Consider the following 21,808-nt stretch of genomic DNA (forward strand, 5'->3'; position numbering starts at 1 on the left):
CTAAAGACACCCTCTTAAACTTTAAGAGTGCCATTCTGGGCCAGGCGCAGTGGCTCACACCTGTAATCCCAGCACTTTGGGAGGCCAAGGCAGGCAGATCACCTGAGGTTGGAAGTTCGAGACCATCCTGACCAACATGGAGAAACCCTGTCTGTTCTAAAAATACCAAATTAGCTGGGTGTGATGGTACATGCCTGTAATCCCAGCTACTCAGGAGGCTGAGGCAGGAGAATCACTTGAATCTGGGAGGTGGAGGTTGCGTCGAGCCAAATTCGTGCCACTGCACTCCAGCCTGGGCAACAAGAGCGAAATTCCATCTCAAAAAAAAAAAAAAAAAAAGAGTGCCATTCTGGCCTGGGAGCAGCTTCCCCCTTTGCCTCTCTCTATTCTAAACACCATCCCACCCCTCAGCCAACTCCATCAAGGTGGAGATGTACAGCGATGAGGAGTCAAGCAGACTGCTGGGGCCAGATGAGCGGCTCCTGGAAAAGGACGACAGCGTGATTGTGGAAGATTCATTGTCTGAGCCCCTGGGCTACTGTGATGGGAGTGGGCCAGAGCCTCACTCCCCTGGGGGCATCCGGCTGCCCAATGGCAAGCTCAAGTGTGACGTCTGCGGCATGGTCTGTATTGGACCCAACGTGCTCATGGTGCACAAGCGCAGTCACACTGGTAAGTAAGCCAGAGGGGCTCTGGGAGGAGCTCCCAGGGTGGGGTTGAGAGGCAGGGGCAGTGCTGGGACAACAGCAGGTATGGGGCTGGAGGAGGTCATGCAGGGAGTGGGTAGCCTCAGAAAGGGAAGGGTCTCACCCAGCACATTTTCCAGCTGACAAAACGAGGCAGGGTGGGGGTGGGTACAGAATTTGAATTCCCCTCAATACCTTTAGTTTCCTGGCACTCTCCTCAACCGCTGTTATAAAGAAAAGGTGATATTTTTCTCAGTATATGAGGGAGGGGAAAGTGTAGACTCAAGAATGAGCCAATGGTCCAATAGGGGTAAGACTCCTGGGTATTCTTTGGGCCCTCCCATCTAATAATTAAAAAACAACAACAACAACAACAACAACAAAACAGAAAACAAAAGCCTTCTCTTCTCAGCTTCCTTGGGCCTTGGGCTCCTAGGGCAGAGTGGGCCCTGTGGGGCTCAGTTTTTGGTAACAGTCTTTTGGCCTCGTGTTCCAGGCCCCTCTCCCTGCCACACACCTCTAATCCACACCTTCCCCAGGGTAAGACCCCAGGGATCCCCAAGGGATCTTCATAAATCAGGGTTTGTGTGCATTGCACTTCTGCCCGTCAGCAATGTGTTCAGAGCACCTTCCCTTGGGCAAGGTAGGGCAGAGGGTGGGTGATAGGTTCAACCTTCAAAGTTCCTCACATGCAGTCCTCTGGGATTTGTTCTTTCACTTGCAGGTGAAAGGCCCTTCCATTGCAACCAGTGTGGTGCCTCCTTCACCCAGAAGGGGAACCTGCTGCGCCACATCAAGCTGCACTCTGGGGAGAAGCCCTTTAAATGTCCCTTCTGCAACTATGCCTGCCGCCGGCGTGATGCACTCACTGGTCACCTCCGCACACACTCAGGTCAGTGTCTGTCCAGTGGGAGGAGGGAATGAGGCTCCAACACACCCAGTATGTAGAGCTCAGTGACTTCTCTTGTATTTGGGGAGTTCCAGTGTCTGTCATTGAGGAGGGGGGAGCATTTACAGAGCAGATAGGGCCCCCTGCCTCTCTCACCCATCCTCTGGGCAGCAAGGCTTCATGGGAAATTTGGGAGACACCTTGATGGGGTATTTTACATCCACCATATGGATGTAAAATCCATCTACTTGGAGCAAAAGGAATAGGAGCAATGTTCTTGGCTGTTAACGGTCACCCTTGGCCTGGCGCGGTGGCTCACGCCTGTAATCCCAGCACTTTGGGAGGCCAAGATGGGCGGATCACGAGGTCAGGAGATCGAGACCATCCTGGCCAAAATGGTGAAACCCTGTCTCTACTAAAAATACAAAAAAAAAAAAAATTAGCCGGGCATGGTGGCAGGCACCTGTAGTCCCAGCTACTTGGGAGGCTGAGGCTGGAGAATGGCGTGAACCCGGGAGGCGGAGCTTGCAGTGAGCTGAGATCGCGCCATTGCACTCTAGCCTGGGCGACTGAGCGACACTCAGTCTCAAAAAAAAAAAAAAAAAAAAAAAAAAAAAGTCACCCTTCCCTGACTTTTGTTTGTTTTTTGTTTTTTCAAGACGGTGTCTCACACTGTTGCCCAGGCTGGAGTGTAGTGGTGCAATTTTGGCTCCCTGCAGTCTTGATCTCCTGAGCTCAAGCCATCCTCCCACCTCAGCTTCCTGAGTAGCTGGAAGGATACTGCCACACCCAGCTAATTTTTCTATTTTTTTGTAGAGACAGGATCTCCCTATGCTGCCCAGGCTTGTCTTGAACTCTTGATCTCAAGCAATCGGCCCACCTCAGCCTCCTGAAGTACTGGGATTACAGGCGTGGTGTCAGCCACTGTGCCTGGGCTTTCCTGACTTTTATATTTTAGATTGTTGATGCCACAATCCATGCCCTATTACCCCCAACATCTAAGCCCCTGGGAAATCCCTCCTCTCACTCCCATCTGCCTCAGGCCCCACACCTGTCATCATCTTCACCCTCCTTCCTCCCACACCACCAGAGGTCTTGAGCAACCAGTCTGTCCTCTCCTTTACTTCCTTCTGGCTCCTGGAAATATCCATAGCCCTCTCAAATTGCAAAAAAGGGAGCCTAGGACTTCCAAATAGGAAAAGAGTATCCTATTTCTGTTCCCTATCCCAAGAGGTTGTCACCTTCCCAGAGGCAAGAGAAAGTCCAGAGGGTACCTAGAGATCAATGTTTGGAACAGTGCTGGGAAACTGGATTAACAAGGTTTTCTAGCCCAGTCAAGACTGTTTGAATCAGTATCTGTCTGAATCAGCTGGACAGATAGCACTTTTTAGGCATTTTACTAAGCTTTAGGCTTTTGGCTTGGACTTGGGAAGAGGCCAGGAGCTGAGCTGGCAGGAAGGAGGGAGCTCAAGATTGGGAAAAGGCAGGAAGAAAGGAAGGGGGAAAGAATTAGTAGGGTCTGTCCTTGGAAACTTTCCTGGCTATTTTTCTCTTCTTAAACTCTCCTGAGCCAGGATTTAAAGGGACAGAGCAATCATTTCATCACCCTCTACTTTCTCCATCCACTTACCTTGTTCCAGGTTCTCCCACCTTGTAATTGGGACCTCTTTATCTCTATGTATGTGGAGAAACAGGGAGAAAGATCATCGTTGATACATGCTTTATATCTACAGAGCATTTCACTTGTGTTTCTCCATGTGATCCTCATAACAATTCCAAGGTAGATGTGATTATCCCCATTTTGTTGACAAGGAAAATGAAGCTGTTGGGGGGAAAAATGAGTTGCGGGTCACATAGCTATTCTTCAGCCTAGCTGGAACCCCATCAAGGTCCAGTGCCAGAAATACATACTCCTTTTCCTCAGAAAAGGGGCTGCTCCCCCTGCTGGTTTGGAACAAGGATGGCTTGGCCCCTAGAATTCTTACCAACTACACAGTGAGGTGAACTGGGTAGATTTTGGATGTTGATCTGTAGATTATTAACAACAGAAGCAGACACAGATATACTGTCAGGTCCCATCTCTGTGAAGTGCTTTCTGTTGCAACCCCTATTATAAGAAAAAAGAGACTGGATGCATGTTCTCACTCATGTGGGAGCTAAAAAAGTTGATCTCATAGAAGCACGGAGTAGGTTGGGTGCAGTGGCTCACGTCTATCATCCCAGCAGTTTGGGAAGCCAAGGCGGGTGGATCGCTTGAGCCCAGGAGTTTGAGACCAGCCAGAGCAACATAGTGAGACTTCGTCTCTACTACAAAAACAAAAACAAAAACAAAAACAAAAACTAGGTGTGGTGGCACACACCTGTAGTCCCAGCTACTCAGGAGGCTGAGACAGGGAGGATCACTTGAACCTGGGAGGTCAAGACTTCAGTGTCCTGTGATCATGTCATTGCACTCCAGTCTGGGTGACAGAGTGAGACCCCATCTTGGGGAAAAAAAAAAAAAAGCCAGGCACGGTGGCTCACGCCTGTAATCCCAGCACTTTGGGAGGCCAAGGCGGGCAGATCACCTGAGGTCAGGAGTTCAAGACCAGCCTGACCAACATGGAGAAACCCTGTTTCTACTAAAAATACAAAATTAGCCAGGCGTGGTGGCGCATGCCTGTAATCCCTGCTACTCGGGAGGCTGAGACAGGAGAATTCCTTGAGCCCAGGAGGCAGAGGTTGCAGTAAGCCAAGATCGCGCCATTGCACTCCAGCCTGGGCAACAAGGGTGAAACTCCGTCTCAAAAAAAAAAAAAAAGTAGAGAGTAGAACAGTGGTTACCAGAGGCTGACTGAGAAGGGTTGGGAGTAGGTGGATAGCGAGAGGCTGGTTAATGGGTACAAGATTACAGTTAGATGGGAGGCATAAGTTGTAGTGTTCCACAGCATAGTAGAATGACTGTAGTTAACAATAATTTATTGTATATTTCAAAATCGCTAGAAGAGATTATTTTGAATGTTCCCAATACAAAGAAATGATAAATGTTTGCTGGGCATGGTGGCTCACGCCTGTCATCCTAGCCTTTGGGAGGCTGAGGCAGACAGATCATGAGGTCAGGAGATTGAGACCATCCTGGCTAACATGGTGAAACCCGTCTCTACTAAAAATACAAAAAATTAGCTGGGCATGGTGGTGGGCGCCTGTAGTCCCAGCTACTGGGAGGCTGAGGCAGGAGAATCGCTTGAACCCAGGAGGTAGAGGTTGCAGTGAGCCGAGATCGTGCCACTGCACTCCAGCCTAGGCAACAGAGTAAGACTCTGTCTCCAAAAAAAAGAAGAAAAAAAGATAAATGTTTGAGGTGACAGATATGCCAGTTACCCCAACTTGATCATTACATGTCGTATACATGTATGAAAATATCATATGTATCTCATAAACATGTATAATTATTATGTATCAATTATCAATTAAAATTTGAAAAAAAAGAAAGCGGTTGGAGGATCATTCCTCTCCCAGATGTTAAACTGTTTCCCCAAGGGTCTTTGGGTGGATAGGGACCATGGTGTTCATTTCATCCCTAAAATACAAGAGTTTACAGAGCCTGAGTAAAATCCAGTAGATTGATTTAGTCAAGGCCCAGCTTTGGCATGGCAAGGTTAGGGGTGAATAGTAATTACCAGCTTCCTAGAGATACCTTCTCCTGTCTCCCTGCTCAATAGCAGCAAGATACATCAAATATACAATACGTTGTTTCTCTCCACTTTTTTCTCTCCTCTCACAAATATCTCTTAAGAGTTATCTTTAAATGAAGTACCACTCTGTTTTCCAATTTTCTTTCTTCGGTAGAAACAAGACCTTTATAACCTGTTCCTTATTACAAGCACATAAACAAACAAACCCAAATTTGGTGTTCTCTTTTTTTTACTCTTCTTTATTTTCTTCTCTGTTCTTTTATTCTTTTTCTCTTTTCAGAATTACTCTATCAGTGATGGGCTTTCTAGACCTCTCTTGGTATCTCAGCGTAGAGAGACAGAGAGACAAAATAATCAGTAAACCAGGCTAGGGCTGGAGGTCAAAATACAAGTAAAGGTCAATGAAAACTGCCCCCTCCCCACATTGGCAGATCTAAGGGCTCTCATTTCTGTCATGCCAGCCCACCAGTTTCCCCCAAACCAAAGCAGATAGTTCATAAAAAGCAAAAAATCCCCTTGTCTGATAAACAGCACTTACATCCGCCTGCCAAATGGAAAGGTTAAACCACAGTCTGGGCCCCAGACTCTGAGATCCTGCAGTGGGGCCTGCCTGTCTGCTAGGGATGATCCTCTACAAAGTCCCTGGGTCCTCACTTCCTTTAAGCAACAATTTGGCCATCTTGAACAAACCCACCACCAGTCTGAAGCCACATGCCCTAGGATTCCCTTGCCCCCATAACTGCACATTATCCTTCATCATCAAATATTGTTCATCTGTCCGCGGTTGCAGTTGAAGTTGGGAAATGAAAGACAAGTAGAAGAACTCAATTTAGCAACATCCTTTCCTTCCCATGCCAGTGTATACTTGCTCTTGGCTGAATCTGCAGAGCCAGGGCACAGCGAGAAATAGCTCTGATGCCATCTTTCCACTCTCCTCCACAGTCTCCTCTCCCACAGTGGGCAAGCCCTACAAGTGTAACTACTGTGGCCGGAGCTACAAACAGCAGAGTACCCTGGAGGAGCACAAGGAGCGGTGCCATAACTACCTACAGAGTCTCAGCACTGAAGCCCAAGCTTTGGCTGGCCAACCAGGTAGGGCTATTGATGTACTACTGGGGAGTTAAAAGGGGATGGTGAGAGGGAGTGCTAGACAAGGGTGACTCCAGTATCTCCCACACTGAGGGATGAAGTCTGTGGAACAGGGGATGATTACCCCAGTAAATCTGCCAAACACCCCATTCTAGGTAACCCAGTTGGTGGAGAGCCTTGTCTGTGGTGGGTGCTTTAGGGAGATCGACAGGTAGGGGAAGTTTGGGTCTATATCCTTGGCCTAATGGGAGAGAGAGAACACAAGAAGTATAAAACCAAGGGCCAGATGTGTATGATTGTCCCCAAATGATCTGAAATTTTATTGGAGTGAGCTTTAGGTAGGGTAAACAGAGCCCAGTTTCCCAGGCAACTGGTATGTCCTTCCTTGGCTACTGACCTGCTGGTTTTCTCCAGGCAAAGGCTGTGGGGCCAATGCTACCCCTACTCAACTGCTACTACTGTCTCCACCTTCTTCCCACTAGGTGACGAAATACGTGACCTGGAGATGGTGCCAGACTCCATGCTGCACTCATCCTCTGAGCGGCCAACTTTCATCGATCGTCTGGCCAATAGCCTCACCAAACGCAAGCGTTCCACACCCCAGAAGTTTGTAGGTAAGAATCCAGTTGGAAAGACGTATCAGCTTTAAGCCACAGCTCAAATAAATCTGAGCTGTGTGGTCTGGAGATTCGGTTTGGGGAAAGAAAGCAGTCTGGTGGGCTGGGTGCAGTGGCTCACGTCTGTAATCCCAGCACTTTGGGAGGCCAAGGTGGGCAGATCAAGAGGTCAGAAGATCAAGACCATCCCGGTTAACACAGTGAAACCCCCTCTCTACTAAAAATACAAAAAATTAGCCGGGCGTGGTGGCGGGCACCTGTAGTCCCAGCTACTCGGGAGGCTGAAGCAGGAGAATGGTGTGAACCTGGGAGGCGGAGCTTGCAGTGAGCGGAGATCGCGCCACTGCACTCCATCCATCCTGGGCAACAGAGCAAGACTCCGTCTCAAAAGAAAAAAGAAAAAAGGAAAGAAAGAAAGCAGGCTGGTGGCCTCTGATACTGAAAATCTATCCTCAGGACAGGAGGAAAGTAAAGAGGGAGGATGTACTCAAAGAGAGTGGAGAAGGGTTGGCACTGAAGACTCTCGTGGTGGTTGTAAGGGACAGGGTCGAGGCATCGGGCTGTCTCAGTTTTTTGTTTGTTTGTTTGTTTTTGAGACGGAGTCTTGCTCTGTCGCCCAGGCTAGAATGCAGTGGCACGATCTCGGCTCACTGCAACCTCTGTCTCCCAGGTTCACGCCATTCTCCTGCCTCAGCCTCCCGAGTAGCTGGGACTACAGACGCCTGCCACCATGCCCGGCTAATTTTTTTTGTATTTTTAGTAGAGACGGGGTTTCACCGTGTTAGCCAGGATGGTCTTAATCTCCTGACCTCATGATCTGCCCGCCTCAGCCTCCCAAAGTGCTGGGATTACAGGCGTGAGCCACCGCGCCCGGCCCGGGCTATCTCAGTTTTTAAGAATAACAAGAACTTCAGTCTGTGTGGGCCCTTAGAGAGTCAGAGAGAGGAAATAAGTATGTGGTTCCCCCTATCCCCAGCACTAGTCATGAGCTCTCTAAGGACCTGGAGCTTTATGGAGAGTAATAAAATGAAGTATTAAAAATCAATGGGCTGGGATTGAGTCCTTCTCTAAGATTATAGCCTAGAGTCAGGGAGCAGTCCCACAAAGGACCTGACCCTGCGAAAGTAAATGCCACGTAGTAAATAATGTTACACCCAGCCCCACAGGTAAAAAAACAAAGAAGTAATCCTGAGGAGAGTGTAGGAATTCTCCAAACCCAGCCCTGCTGAGTTCCTGTTCTCCACAGGCGAAAAGCAGATGCGCTTCAGCCTCTCAGACCTCCCCTATGATGTGAACTCGGGTGGCTATGAAAAGGATGTGGAGTTGGTGGCACACCACAGCCTAGAGCCTGGCTTTGGAAGTTCCCTGGCCTTTGTGGGTGCAGAGCATCTGCGTCCCCTCCGCCTTCCACCCACCAATTGCATCTCAGAACTCACGCCTGTCATCAGCTCTGTCTACACCCAGATGCAGCCCCTCCCTGGTCGACTGGAGCTTCCAGGATCCCGAGAAGCAGGTGAGGGACCTGAGGACCTGGCTGATGGAGGTCCCCTCCTCTACCGGCCCCGAGGCCCCCTGACTGACCCTGGGGCATCCCCCAGCAATGGCTGCCAGGACTCCACAGACACAGAAAGCAACCACGAAGATCGGGTTGCGGGGGTGGTATCCCTCCCTCAGGGTCCCCCACCCCAGCCACCTCCCACCATTGTGGTGGGCCGGCACAGTCCTGCCTACGCCAAAGAGGACCCCAAGCCACAGGAGGGGTTATTGCGGGGCACCCCAGGCCCCTCCAAGGAAGTGCTTCGGGTGGTGGGCGAGAGTGGTGAGCCTGTGAAGGCCTTCAAGTGTGAGCACTGCCGTATCCTCTTCCTGGACCACGTCATGTTCACTATCCACATGGGCTGCCATGGCTTCAGAGACCCTTTTGAGTGCAACATCTGTGGTTATCACAGCCAGGACCGGTACGAATTCTCTTCCCACATTGTCCGGGGGGAGCATAAGGTGGGCTAGCAACCTCTCCCTCTCTCCTCAGTCCACCACTCCACTGCCCTGACTACAGGCATTGATCCCTGTCCCCACCATTTCCCAAGGAGTTTTGCTTTGTAGCCCTCACTACTGGCCACCTGACCTCACACCTGACCCTGACCCCTCCTCACCTATTCTCTTCCTCTATCCTGACCGATGTAAGCATTGTGATGAAACAGATCTTTTGCTTATGTTTTTCCTTTTTATCTTCTCTCATCCCAGCATACTGAGTTATTTATTAATTAGTTGATTTATTTTTGCCTTTTTAAATTTTAACTTATATCAGTCACTTGCCACTCCCCCACCCTCCTGTCCACAACTCCTTTCCACTTTAGGCCAATTTTTCTCTCTTAGATCTTCCAGCAGCCCCAGGGGTAGGAAGCTCCTCTTAGTACTAAGAGACTTCAAGCTTCTTGCTTTAAGTCCTCACCCTTTACATTATCTAATTCTTCAGTTTTGATGCTGATACCTGCCCCCGGCCCTACCTTAGCTCTGTGGCATTATATCTCCTCTCTGGGACTCTTCAACCTGGTACTCCATACCTCTTGTGCCCTCTCACTTTAGGCAGCTTGCACTATTCTTGAATGAATGAAGAATTATTTCCTCATTTGGAAGTAGGAGGGACTGAAGAAATTCTCCCCAGGCACTGTGGGACTGAGAGTCCTATTCCCCTAGTAATAGGTCATATTCCCCTAGTAATATGAGTTCTCAAAGCCTACATTCAGGATCTCCCTCTAGGATGTGATAGATCTGGTCCCTCTCCTTGAACTACCCCTCCACACGCTCTAGTCCCTTCAACCTACCGGTCTATTAAGTGGTGGCTTTTCTCTCCTTGGAGTGCCCCAATTTTATATTCTCAGGGGCCAAGGCTAGGTCTGCAACCCTCTGTCTCTGACAGATTGGGAGCCACAGGTGCCTAATTGGGAACCAGGGCATGGGAAAGGAGTGGGTCAAAATTCTTCTCTTTCTCCTCCACCTCTCAAACTTCTTCACTATAGTGACCTTCCTAGGCTCTCAGGGGCTCCTTCAGTCCCCATCCTATGAGAAACTAGTGGGTTGCTGCCTGATGACAAGGGGTTGTTTCAGCCCCTCAGTCATGCTGCCTTCTGCTGCTCCCTCCCAGCAGGATTCACCCTCTCATTCCCGGGCTCCTGGGCCCTGTTCTTAGGATCAGTGGCAGGGAGAAACGGGTATCTCTTTTCTCTCTTCTAATTTTCAGTATAACCAAAAATTATCCCAGCATGAGCACGGGCACGTGCCCTTCACCCCATTCCACCCTTGTTCCAGCAAGACTGGGATGGGTACAACTGAACTGGGGTCTTCCTTTACTACCCCCTTCTACACTCAGCTCCCAGACACAGGGTAGGAGGGGGGACTGCTGGCTACTGCAGAGACCCTTGGCTATTTGAGTAACCTAGGATTAGTGAGAAGGGGCAGAAGGAGATACAACTCCACTGCAAGTGGAGGTTTCTTTCTACAAGAGTTTTCTGCCCAAGGCCACAGCCATCCCACTCTCTGCTTCCTTGAGATTCAAACCAAAGGCTGTTTTTCTATGTTTAAAGAAAAAAAAAAGTAAAAACCAAACACAACACCTCACAAGTTGTAACTCTTGGTCCTTCTCTCTCTCCTTTTCTCTTCCCTTCCTTCCCCTTCCATCTTTCTTTCCACATGTCCTTTCCTTATTGGCTCTTTTACCTCCTACTTTTCTCACTCCCTATCAGGGATATTTTGGGGGGGGATGGTAAAGGGTGGGCTAAGGAACAGACCCTGGGATTAGGGCCTTAAGGGCTCTGAGAGGAGTCTACCTTGCCTTCTTATGGGAAGGGAGACCCTAAAAAACTTTCTCCTCTTTGTCCTCCTTTTTCTCCCCCACTCTGAGGTTTCCCCAAGAGAACCAGATTGGCAGGGAGAAGCATTGTGGGGCAATTGTTCCTCCTTGACAATGTAGCAATAAATAGATGCTGCCAAGGGCAGAAAATGGGGAGGTTAGCTCAGAGCAGAGTAGTCTCTAGAGAAAGGAAGAATCCTCAACGGCACCCTGGGGTGCTAGCTCCTTTTTAGAATGTCAGCAGAGCTGAGATTAATATCTGGGCTTTTCCTGAACTATTCTGGTTATTGAGCCCTTCCTGTTAGACCTACCGCCTCCCACCTCTTCTGTGTCTGCTGTGTATTTGGTGACACTTCATAAGGACTAGTCCCTTCTGGGGTATCAGAGCCTTAGGGTGCCCCCATCCCCTTCCCCAGTCAACTGTGGCACCTGTAACCTCCCGGAACATGAAGGACTATGCTCTGAGGCTATACTCTGTGCCCATGAGAGCAGAGACTGGAAGGGCAAGACCAGGTGCTAAGGAGGGGAGAGGGGGCATCCTGTCTCTCTCCAGACCATCACTGCACTTTAACCAGGGTCTTAGGTACAAAATCCTACTTTTCAGAGCCTTCCAGCTCTGGAACCTCAAACATCCTCATGCTCTCTCCCAGCTCCTTTTGCATAAAAAAAAAAGTAAAGAAAAAGAAAAAAAAATACACACACACTGAAACCCACATGGAGAAAAGAGGTGTTTCCTTTTATATTGCTATTCAAAATCAATACCACCAACAAAATATTTCTAAGTAGACACTTTTCCAGACCTTTGTTTTTTTGTGTCAGTGTCCAAGCTGCAGATAGGATTTTGTAATACTTCTGGCAGCTTCTTTCCTTGTGTACATAATATATATATATACATATATATATATATTTTTAATCAGAAGTTATGAAGAACAAAAAGAAAAAATAAACACAGAAGCAAGTGCAATACCACCTCTCTTCTCCCTCTCTCCTAGGGTTTCCTTTGTAGCCTATGTTTGGTGTCTCTTTTGACCTTTACCCCTTCACCTCCTCCTCTCTTCTTCTGATTCCCCTCCCCCCCTTTTTTAAAGAGTTTTTCTCCTTTCTCAAGGGGAGTTAAACTAGCTTTTGAGACTTATTGCAAAGCATTTTGTATATGTAATATATTGTAAGTAAATATTTGTGTAACGGAGATATACTACTGTAAGTTTTGTACTGTACTGGCTGAAAGTCTGTTATAAATAAACATGAGTAATTTAACACCTCTGGTTGTTTTTGCAGACTTCCTTTGCCTTGCTTTTCTACTAAGAGGGAGGGGTCCTCCTTGCAGTATGTTATACCAACTACTGAACAGTTTAGGAGGTAAACAAAAACGAAGAATTTTCAGCCTAGACTGGGAAATGGAGGAGATTTTCCTACCAGGAAGGAGTGCCTTCAGGATAGGAGAGAAAGTCTGACTTGCCTGTCTACCCAAAGTAGAAATTAATCAAACATTTGTTGAGTACCTACTGTGCACAAAACACATTCTATGCCCAGGGTGAAATAATGCGAATGATGACAATCATAGGGTCTACCACTGCTTGAGCATCTCATAAATGCTAAGTACTCATTGAATTGTAGAAACACCTACAAAAGGATGATCACAATTATTGGTAAAAAAATAAAAGCCCAAGAGAGAATAAATACCTTATCCAAGGCTCATCAGCCAGTAAGTGACAGAACCAGAATTTGAACCCAGGGGTGTGTGATCCAAAGCATGTGCTCATCGCTTTATGCCAGGGAATGCAGCCAGTGAAACCCCTAAGCTAGAAAAATCCAAAGTAGGAACATAAATTTGTTTCTGTCTTAAATAGTAACTATTTTCTGTTCTCTTCACTCTGAACTTTTTTATGTTCTCTTCCATCTACCTCATTGCTATTCCATATAGTAATGTCTGCCTTCTGTTTTCCACAAGATTACAGTGAAGTGAAAATTAGAGACACTCCTATCTAGAGTCTATTATTTTCCATGTCCCACTGAAACTGGCAAATTCAAAGTCAAAACAGACAGGAAAGCTGGAAGTGGTGGAGGACACCTGTCCTCCCAGCTACTTGGGAGGATCACTTGAGCCTAGGAGTTTGAGAACAGCCTCAGCAACACAGGGCAACACCATCTCTACAAGAAATTTTAAAATTAGCTAGGCATGGTGGTGCATGCCTGTAGTCCCAGCTACTCGGAAAGCTGAGACGGCAGGATCACTTGAGCCCAGGAGGTCAAGCCTGCACTGAACTGTGATCATGCCACTGCAGCCTCCAGACCCATCTTAAAAAAGAAAAAAAAGCGCTGGGCACAGTGGCTCATGCCTGTAATCCTGGCACTCTGGGAGGCTGAGGCAGGCGGATCACGAGGTCAGGAGATCAAGACCATGTGGCCAACATGGTGAAACTCCGTCTCTACTAAAATACAAAAAATTAGCCGGGCATGGTGGTACGTGCCTGTAGTGCCAGCTACTTGGGAGGCTGAGGCAGAAGAATCGCTTGAACCCAGGAGGCGGAGGTTGCAGTGAGCCAAGATCGCACCACTGCACTCCAGCCTAGGCAACAGAGCAAGACTCCATCTGAAAAAAAAAAAAAAAAGTCTGGGCACAGTGGCTCACGCCTGTAATCCTAGCACTTTGGGAGGCCGAGTCGGGTGGATATCCTGAGCTCAGGAGTTCGAGACCAGCCTGGGCAACATGGCGAAACCCTATCTCTACTAAAAATACAAAAATTAGCTGGGGCCGGGTGCAGTGGCTCACACCTATAATCCCAGCACTTTGGGAGGCTGAGGTGGATGGATCACGAGGTCAAGAGATCGGGACTGTCCCAGCCAACATGGTGAAACCCTGTCTCTACTAAAAATACAAAAATTAGCTGGGCATGGTGGCGCCCACCTGTAGTCCCACCTACTCGGGAGGCTGAGGCAGAAGAATCGCTTGAACCCGGGAGGCAGAGGTTGCTGTGAGCTGAGATGGCACCACTGCACTCCAGCCTGGGTGACAGAGCAAGAGTCTGTCTCAAAAATAAAAATAAAAAAAGAAAGGAAAAGAAAAAAGAAAGTAAGAAAACAGATTTTAGCCCCAAGAAGTGGGTTAAAGGTTAAAAGAAACCATGATGGGTTGCTGGAGGGAAGGTGAATCTGGTGTGTTCAAACTCTAGAGTGAGTCATAAATGAACAATGGTTTCCATCTGTACCATCCTGGGTCTGAATGCTAGGAGGTCCCCTTGCCACCCTAGTGTCTTCAACTTTGGAGACAACTGGGTGGTTGGCTGTGGACAGCCATTCCTGCCAGGCTGAAGCTTGCTTGCTTTTTTTTTTTTTTTTTTTGAGACAGAGTTTCGCTCTATTGCCCAGACTGTAGCACAGTAGCCCAATCTCAGCTCACTGCAACTTCTGCCTCCCGGGTGCAAGCAATTCTCCTGTCTCAGTCTCCCGAGTAGCTGGGATTACAGGTGTGCGCCACCAGGCCTAATTTTTATATTTTTAGTAGAGGTGGGGTGTCACTATGTTGACTAGGCTGGTCTTGAACTCCTGACCTCAGGTGATCCGCCTGCCTTGGCCTCCCAAAGTGTTGGGATTACAGGCGTGAGCCACTGCACCCAGCCTAAGGCTTAAGTCTTTCCGATGGCTCTTCAGAGGTAAATGGAGCTTACACATAATCTTTCAATTAGGGGTCAGATTCACTAATGAGTGGTGAAATAATTTTCGTGGTTTTTGATCAGCATTTATTAAAATAGAGAACAGAAAGATTAAGTAAAAATAAAGAATAGAACATACCAGCACACCTATGACAAGGGTAAGTATCGTTTCATAAAGCTTGTGTTTCAGTTTTGCATGTGCATGTAATCGTGTTTGTGTGTGTACTGGGTACCAATGTAAAATGTATTCGTGCTATGAATCTGGGTGAAAAACGTTTAAGTCATTAGTCCAGGCTATTCCTCCATCCATTTGTTAGGTGACATACAGCATAGTACAGCGGAGCCAGAATACCTACTGCACGTCAGTTCTTCAATCTTTTTTTTTAATTGATTTATTTATTTTTGAGACAGAGTTTCGATCTTTTTACCCAGGCTAGAGTGCAGTGGCGCGATCTCGGCTCACTGGAAACTCCGCCTCCCAGGTTCAAGATTCTCCTGTCTTAGCCTCCTGAGTACCTGGGATTACAGGCGCCCACCACCAGGCCGGGCTAAATTCTTCAATCTTTAAAGTGAGGATAATAATAGTAGCTACCTATAGGCTTGCTCAAAGTTAAATGAGTTAATATTTATAAAGACGCTTACCACAGGGCCAGGCACTGTGCCAGAGATAAAAAGATGAATGAGAAATAGCCCCAGCCTCAATGCACTTCATTGTGGGATTTTCTCCATATTGGAAGGAGGGATTCACAAAATGCTTGTTTCCTCTCAGGCCTTCCTCTTCGTAATCCTACACCTACCTAGTAGAAGGACTGTCAGAGAAATGAGCCCAGGGCGTCCCCCGGTGGCGCAGCGCCGCCTTCGGTCTAAGCACTTGGGGCAGGGGGGAAGGGGGGGAGGGGGGAGCCTCTTGGCTTCGCACTACAATTCCCACCAAGCATCTGTCCCTCTCTGGCCTCTAATAACGAGTGCGCCTTGTGGTCCAGCGTCTGGCAACTTTCACGCCTAGCGTCGCGTATACCGGAAAACTGCATCGTCCAGAATTGCTTCCGAGTCGGCGCGGCGCAAGGCTTGCTGGGAGACACATAACCTCGATTTTCTTCCGCCATCCGGCTAAATAGTCCCATGTGCACTTTGTTCCATGGATAAATAAACACTAGGAACGCATTTCCACCCTAGATTTCAGCAGAAATGCTGAATGTAAAGGAATATTTGAGTAAAGTGAGTTGCCGTTCTTGAAGCCCGTCTCCTAAGGATTCTCCCGGTGTCCGCGTAGGGATCTCATGCTATATAGGAGGGCCCTGCCAGGCACCGTCTCCTCTCTCCGGTCCGTGCCTCCAAGATGGTGAGTCTTCTTGCGTGGTGAGGGTGGGGGTTCGGGTGCAGACTCTGGGATTGTGGGGAAGTGAGAGCCTGGAGCACGGCTGAGGGGTGGACCGAGTGTACATTTCATTTGCTCTGGGGGTCGGCGGGATTTGCGGAGAAACAGGAGATCCGAGCGGCGCCTTCCTGGAGGCTGCCGGTGCGGCTTGTGGCCGGAAAGGGACTGAGGCTGGGTGAGTTGCGCCGTTTTCCTAACAGTTTTCCCATCCTGTCGCAGACAAAGAAAAGAAGGAACAATGGTCGTGCCAAAAAGGGCCGCGGCCACGTGCAGCCTATTCGCTGCACTAACTGTGCCCGATGCGTGCCCAAGGACAAGGCCATTAAGAAATTCGTCATTCGAAACATAGTGGAGGCCGCAGCAGTCAGGGACATTTCTGAAGCGAGCGTCTTCGATGGTAAGTGGGTCACCGGCGCGAACTGTGTGAGGATCCCAGTATCTTAAAGCCTTCGCCCAACTTCGCCCTTTTGGAGGCTCTGTTCTTTGGAGCCTCTCAGGCAATTTCCACGTATTTAAGGTTGTTACTGGTAGAAGAGAATTCTCTTGTTTGCCGTTTTGATTCTTTTCTGGGCAGAGGGTGACTTTGTGATAGAGTGCACAGCCTTTACTCTGAGGTAAAGGTTTGCCTGTTTCGGTTATGAGATTGCAAAAACTAGAAACTTGGTAAATTTGACAATTCTTGTGCTATTGATTATTTGAATATTTGTGAAAATATACAGGTGAGGAAGAATGTCTTCAACGTTTCGAGAATGGAGGCCGTCTAGTTTGGTGTGCAAGGATGATGTTTGGAGCAATAAGAACGTCGCTTTGTTTTTTTCCTTTTATAGAAAGAGCAAGGTTCAGGGTAGGCATTAGGGCGGGTGTAGGTGTAGAAGGAACTGGATTATTGGTTTATTGCATTTAGAATGTCAGTCTGGTCCTTGCGGTGTCAAGATGAACTCACGTGGGATGTTAATTCACTTGTAAAACTGAGGGTTATACATATGTGCTCAGGTATTGGGCTGAACAGGTGCTTTGGGGGTGCTTTTATGTGCCCGACAGGCATTTAAATAGGTTTAGTTTTAATTGACGTAAACATGTAAGGTGCTCTTCATTCATGTAACAAAAAAGCAAGGTAGGTATATAATACCAGTATAACTCTATTTTCTATTCCTTAGCCTATGTGCTTCCCAAGCTGTATGTGAAGCTACATTACTGTGTGAGTTGTGCAATTCACAGCAAAGTAGTCAGGAATCGATCTCGTGAAGCCCGCAAGGACCGAACACCCCCACCCCGATTTAGACCTGCGGTGAGTATTTTAAAAGGAGAATGGAAGCCAGGGGAGTGATGGTTAAAATTTCATCCTGGAGGGTCAGGGTGTCCTATACCTGTAACCTCAACACTTTGGGAGGCTGGGACAAGAAGATTGCTAGAAACCAGCAGTTCAAGACCCCATCTCTTCAAAAAATATTGAGAAGGAAGCCAAGCATGATAGTGTGAACCTATAGTCTGGCTGCTCGAGAGGCTGAGGCAGGAGGATCACTTGAGCCCAGGAGTTTGAGGTTGCAGTGAGCTATGATTATACCACTTGCGCTCCAGCCAGGGCAAAAGTGAGACCTTGTCTCTTAAAAAAAAAAAAAAGTTGCTTCCTCCTGTGGTGCAGGGGGTATCAAATTAAGGTCTGTGCCTCAGGTTAAGCTGTAAGGCAGGTGAGACCCACACCTGAACATGCTTAGAGACACTGCAAAGCAGTGTTAGAATCAGAATTGGTTTTTAGGATGCAGAGTAGTGTTCTCCCTCCACCTCTATCAGCTTCCCATGCATTTGTAGCCTGAATACATCAGTTTGTGAGAGGATGGTGGTCAAGTTCTTTGGGGGAAGGGAGTCTTGGATCCATGGGTTTTAATTTACTCTTTTGTTTCTTTGTCTTTCAGGGTGCTGCCCCACGTCCCCCACCAAAGCCCATGTAAGGAGCTGAGTTCTTAAAGACTGAAGACAGGCTATTCTCTGGAGAAAAATAAAATGGAAATTGTACTTAATATTGCATGTTAAGTGTATCTGTGCCAGATAAGGTGGGGATTTTGTGTGTTAGACCAAGTGTGAAGTGACACACATTATTTTCATGGGGAAGAAAGCTTATTCATGTAATTTAATTTTTTTCTTTTTTTTTTTTTTTTTTTTGAGACGGAGTCTTTGTCGCCCAAGCTGAATTGCAGTGGCGTGATCTCAGCTCACTGCAACCTCCGTCTCCCGGGTTCAAGTGATTCTCCTGCCTCAGCTTCTTGAGTAGCTGGGATTACAGGTGTCTGCCACCATGCCTGGTTAATTTTTGTATTTTTGGTAGAGATGGGGTTTCACTATGTTGTCCAGGCTGGTCTTGAACTTCTGACCTCAGTTAATCCACCAGCCTTGGCCTCCCAAAGTGCTGGGATTACAGGCTTGAGCCACCTCGCCTAGCTATTTATGTAAATTAAACTTTAATTGTGGTCGTATGGTTGGCCTCACAATTCGCATAGCTGTGTGAAATGGAGATTAGGCATCTGAATTTTGGATTTAACCACATCAAGTTTAAGTTGGCATCCTAAAAATGGGTAAACATTAGGAGAATGAGGAAAAGCTATTAGTTGAGTGAGGAGCACATTGGGAAGTGACCTAAACTGAGGTGTTTATACCCCTGGAGGGGGAACTTGAATAGTGGATGTATGACTTGGATAGCTTCAGAGCATAAAAGGATTAATGTTCAGATGCTCATCTTCCTACCTTGGAAAAGACACTAAAGGCATTTCTAGAAACGAGACATCCCGGAAATATAAGGTAGAGAAAGGCTCTACCTTATTTTTGTCTGTATGACAATAGTTTAATTTGTCCTAGAATTCAGGAAAAAAAAAATCTATTTGGGAGTAAATTGTTACTGACTTCGCCAGTGAAAGGTAACACCTGTATAGCTTGGAGATTTTAGACACTTGGGAGTCACCTGCACCCCTGCCCCCTTTCAAGCAGTTCTGCCTCAACCTCCCAAATAGCTGGGATTACAAGCATGCACCAGCTAGTTTATTTTTTTGGTAGAGATGGGGTTTCACCATGTTGGCCAGGCTGGTCTCAAACTCCTGACCTCAAATGATCCACCTGCCTCGGCCTCCCAAAGTGCTGGGATTATAGGTGTGAGCCACTGCACCCAGCCTAAGGAACGGGTAGAGATTTTAGAATGTGGAGGTTCTGTTAATTGGAATGCACTCCCCAACAGAAATCTGAGACAAGAACTGCTGACCTGACTTGACTGTCAGTACACCAGTGTTTGTACTGGAATATCTGTGGCAAACCCGGAGTGTGTAAGAGCACTGAATGTAGGCGATAATCTATATCCTTCAGGGAGTCTCAAGACATCAGTGCCCCTTGCAACCTGATCACACCAAGGGTAAACAGGAAGTGATAGAAGAAAATTAAGAGGTCCAAGGCAAAAATGGGTACTGAATCTGAGTGATCCCAAAGTCCAGCTTGCTCAACAGAACCAGATTCAAATAGTAAATCGTGATTGTGGGTGTACTTACAGAGCTGATCCAAGATTCCTCTTGAAGTGTCTAGAGTCACAGCCTGTCACGTGGGTCCTAACTACTACCTCTTCTGTGGGTTTACAAACTCACAACATACTCTGCATTCTAAGCGCAGAGTATGTTGTTTGATTGTCTCCATAGATTCTACTTTCAAGAACCTAGCTGGTAAGAATTGACTTAGTTTTTCGTCTTAATAATCCCAAACTTTGTTGTTTTTGAGATGGAGTCTCTCTCTCTTACCCAGGCTGGAGTGCGGTAGCCCGATCTCGGCTCACTGCAACCTCCGCCTCCCGGGTTCAAGTGATTATCCTGCCTCAGCCTACCAGTAGCTGGGATTACAGGTGCCCGCCACCATGCCCGGCTAATTTTTGTATTTTTAGTAGAGATAGGGTTTCACCATGTTGGCCAGGCTGGTCTTGAACTCCTGATCTCAAGGGATCAGCCCACCTCAGCCTCCCAAAGTGCTGGGATTATAGGCGTGAGCCACCGCGCCTGGCCAGGAATCTGCATTTTAATAGTGTCCCAAGTGATTGTGATGCAACTGGTCTGTGGACTATACTGCAGAGCAGATGGTGAAGGGAATGTTGCATTTGGAGGATTTTATTGATGATGAATCCTGGGTTCCAGAAAGCTGTGAAAGGGTTTCAGGAGATGGGGAAGAGTGCAAATGGGGTCAGAAAGGACTGCATGAGAACCAGAATCTGAGAGACGTGGAATGAGCTGGAGGCTTGGGCTTCTGGTGGTGACTGCACGAATAGGTGCAACTGAGCCATGGTGAACATCATGCTCACAAGCCAAGTGTGCAGTGTGACTTGGAGTCCCAACTCACTATCTACAGGCCCAGGGACCCTGACTTCACAGCTGCCTCCCAAGGCTATTTTCCTAACCTTTTCTCTCTACTCTCTTAGATCAGTGTTGGACTCATCATTTCTGAAATATGAGAATGTGTGGGAAGGCAGCAAGGTGAGATAGGCCCAGAAACATTGGGAGGGGTGTGGGGAGCACTAGGAGAGGAGGAGATCGATTGGGGTGGGGAAGAGGAATACAGTCTCCCTCCCACATCCCTGGACCCCAGAAAGAAGTCCTGAAGACACATCCTTTTTTCTAGTATAATGCACTATTTACCCTGATTCAGGCACTCTGAATGAAAGGTGACTTCCGGATCAGGCGCCCTGGCTCACGGCTGTAATCCCAACACTTTGGGAGGCTGAGGCGGGTGGGTCACCTAAGGTCAGGAGTTTGAGACCAACCTAACCAACACGGGGAAACCCCATCTCTACTAAAAAATACAAAATTAGCCGGGCGTGATGGCACGCGCCTATAATCCCAGCTACTTGGGAAGCTGAGGCAGGAGAATAGTTTGAACCTGGAAGTGGAGGTTGCAGTGAGCCAAGATCATGCCACTGCACTCCAGCCTGGCGAAAGTGCGAAATTCTTTCTGGAAAAAAAAAAAAAGAAAAAGAAAATTGGGTGACTTTCTCAGGCTACAGTTAAAGATGATGTCATGAGTAGTTAACCAGGCCTCATTGATGTTAGTACCTCGGGATGACCATAGAGGGCAGTGTCGTGCAGGAGTTAAGAGCCCAGCTTCGGAGTCTGACAGACCTAAGTTTGAGTCCTTCCTTCGCTCTTTGGTAGCTTTGTGTGTAGCTTTGGGCAAGTTACTCTATCTAAACCTCCAAAAATTAATTTAAAAACACTTCACAAGAACATTTTGAGAACTAAATGAAATAATCTTTGCAAAGGACTTTGCAAAGAACCTGCCAGATAGGCCGGGCGCGGTGGCTCACGCCTGTAATCCCAGCACTTTGGGAGTCCGAGGCGGGTGGATCACGAGGTCAGGAGATCGAGACCATCCTGGCTAACATGGCGAAACCCCATCTCTACTAAAAAATACAAAAAAAAAATTAGCCGGGCGTGGTGGCGGGTGCCTGTAGTCCCAGCTTCTCGGGAGGCTGAGGCAGGAGAATGGTGTGAACCCGGGAGGCGGGGCTTGCAGTAAGCCGAGATCACGCCACTGCACTCCAGCCTGGGCGACAGAGCGAGACTCCGTCTCAAAAAAAAAAGAAAAAAAAGAACCTGCCAGATAATGCAACATTACAAATGGCAGTGGTTACTATTTTTGGCCCAGTCTTACTCTGTAAGTCTTAAAAAAAAAATCAGTGTTTTTTTGCAGATTTATTGAGGATAATTGAAGTATAATACATTGTAGGTATTTAACGTGTACAATTTGAAAAGTTTTGTGTTTGTTTTTTTGAGACAGACTCTCACTCTGTCACCCAGGCTGGAGTGCAATGGCGCCATCTCGGCTCACTACAACCTCCGCTTCCCAAGTTCAAACAATTATACTGCCTCAGCCTCCCGAGTAGCTGGGATTACAGTCATGTGCCACGAGGCCCACTAATTTTTGTATTTTTAGTAGAGACGGGGCTTCACCATGTT

The 21,808-nt window shown here is 47.6% G+C and overlaps 2 protein-coding genes across 24 annotated transcripts in view, besides 9 other annotated features; both read left to right on the forward strand.

The window, feature by feature from the left end:
• IKZF4 (IKAROS family zinc finger 4) overlaps window positions 1-12,066 on the forward strand; it is a 30,932-nt gene extending 18,866 nt beyond the window's left edge. For all 23 annotated transcript variants that reach the window (XM_047429349.1, XM_017019806.2, NM_001351089.2 and 20 more), the window contains 5 exons: window positions 412-672; window positions 1,411-1,578; window positions 6,192-6,341; window positions 6,821-6,952; window positions 8,202-12,066. In XM_047429349.1, coding sequence (XP_047285305.1) covers window positions 412-672; window positions 1,411-1,578; window positions 6,192-6,341; window positions 6,821-6,952; window positions 8,202-8,962 — 1,472 coding nt within the window. In that variant the 3' untranslated portion in view covers window positions 8,963-12,066. The remainder of the gene's footprint in view (window positions 1-411; window positions 673-1,410; window positions 1,579-6,191; window positions 6,342-6,820; window positions 6,953-8,201) is intronic.
• Window positions 15,270-16,059: an enhancer, noted in NCBI's record as "NANOG-H3K27ac-H3K4me1 hESC enhancer chr12:56435423-56436212 (GRCh37/hg19 assembly coordinates)". NCBI's record gives its function as "activates a minimal SCP1, AML or CMV promoter by ChIP-STARR-seq in primed H9 embryonic stem cells {active_cell/tissue: H9 hESC(primed)}" and the evidence as "EXISTENCE:reporter gene assay evidence [ECO:0000049][PMID:30033119]".
• Window positions 15,270-16,237: a biological region, named in NCBI's record as "NANOG-H3K27ac-H3K4me1 hESC enhancer GRCh37_chr12:56435423-56436212".
• Window positions 15,298-15,357: a silencer, noted in NCBI's record as "silent region_4543". NCBI's record gives its function as "represses an Ori minimal core promoter by ATAC-STARR-seq in GM12878 lymphoblastoid cells {active_cell/tissue: GM12878}" and the evidence as "EXISTENCE:reporter gene assay evidence [ECO:0000049][PMID:35858748]".
• Window positions 15,508-15,837: an enhancer, noted in NCBI's record as "active region_6466". NCBI's record gives its function as "activates an Ori minimal core promoter by ATAC-STARR-seq in GM12878 lymphoblastoid cells {active_cell/tissue: GM12878}" and the evidence as "EXISTENCE:reporter gene assay evidence [ECO:0000049][PMID:35858748]".
• RPS26 (ribosomal protein S26) lies at window positions 15,549-18,328 on the forward strand. The gene is made up of 4 exons (NM_001029.5): window positions 15,549-15,800; window positions 16,056-16,233; window positions 16,994-17,124; window positions 17,750-18,328. The coding sequence occupies exons 1-4, from the start codon at window positions 15,798-15,800 to the stop codon at window positions 17,783-17,785; spliced, it is 348 nt and encodes a 115-aa protein (NP_001020.2). The 5' UTR covers window positions 15,549-15,797; the 3' UTR covers window positions 17,786-18,328.
• Window positions 15,978-16,237: an enhancer, noted in NCBI's record as "active region_6467". NCBI's record gives its function as "activates an Ori minimal core promoter by ATAC-STARR-seq in GM12878 lymphoblastoid cells {active_cell/tissue: GM12878}" and the evidence as "EXISTENCE:reporter gene assay evidence [ECO:0000049][PMID:35858748]".
• Window positions 19,652-20,245: an enhancer, noted in NCBI's record as "H3K27ac hESC enhancer chr12:56439805-56440398 (GRCh37/hg19 assembly coordinates)". NCBI's record gives its function as "activates a minimal SCP1, AML or CMV promoter by ChIP-STARR-seq in primed H9 embryonic stem cells {active_cell/tissue: H9 hESC(primed)}" and the evidence as "EXISTENCE:reporter gene assay evidence [ECO:0000049][PMID:30033119]".
• Window positions 20,735-21,109: a transcriptional cis regulatory region, noted in NCBI's record as "candidate enhancer chr12.2135 targeted for multiplex CRISPR interference". NCBI's record gives its function as "positively regulates CNPY2 gene expression in K562 cells {active_cell/tissue: K562}" and the evidence as "EXISTENCE:mutant phenotype evidence [ECO:0000015][PMID:30612741]".
• Window positions 20,735-21,130: a biological region, named in NCBI's record as "CRISPRi-validated cis-regulatory element chr12.2135". NCBI's record gives its function as "regulatory_interactions: CNPY2".
• Window positions 20,836-21,130: an enhancer, noted in NCBI's record as "tiled region #7554; HepG2 Activating DNase unmatched - State 12:CtcfO, and K562 Activating DNase unmatched - State 5:Enh". NCBI's record gives its function as "activates a minimal TATA promoter and a strong SV40 promoter by Sharpr-MPRA in HepG2 and K562 cells {active_cell/tissue: HepG2 | K562}" and the evidence as "EXISTENCE:reporter gene assay evidence [ECO:0000049][PMID:27701403]".

The sequence above is a fragment of the Homo sapiens genome, chromosome 12, assembly GCF_000001405.40.
Source record: "Homo sapiens chromosome 12, GRCh38.p14 Primary Assembly".
Classification (NCBI taxonomy): Eukaryota; Metazoa; Chordata; class Mammalia; order Primates; family Hominidae; genus Homo; species Homo sapiens.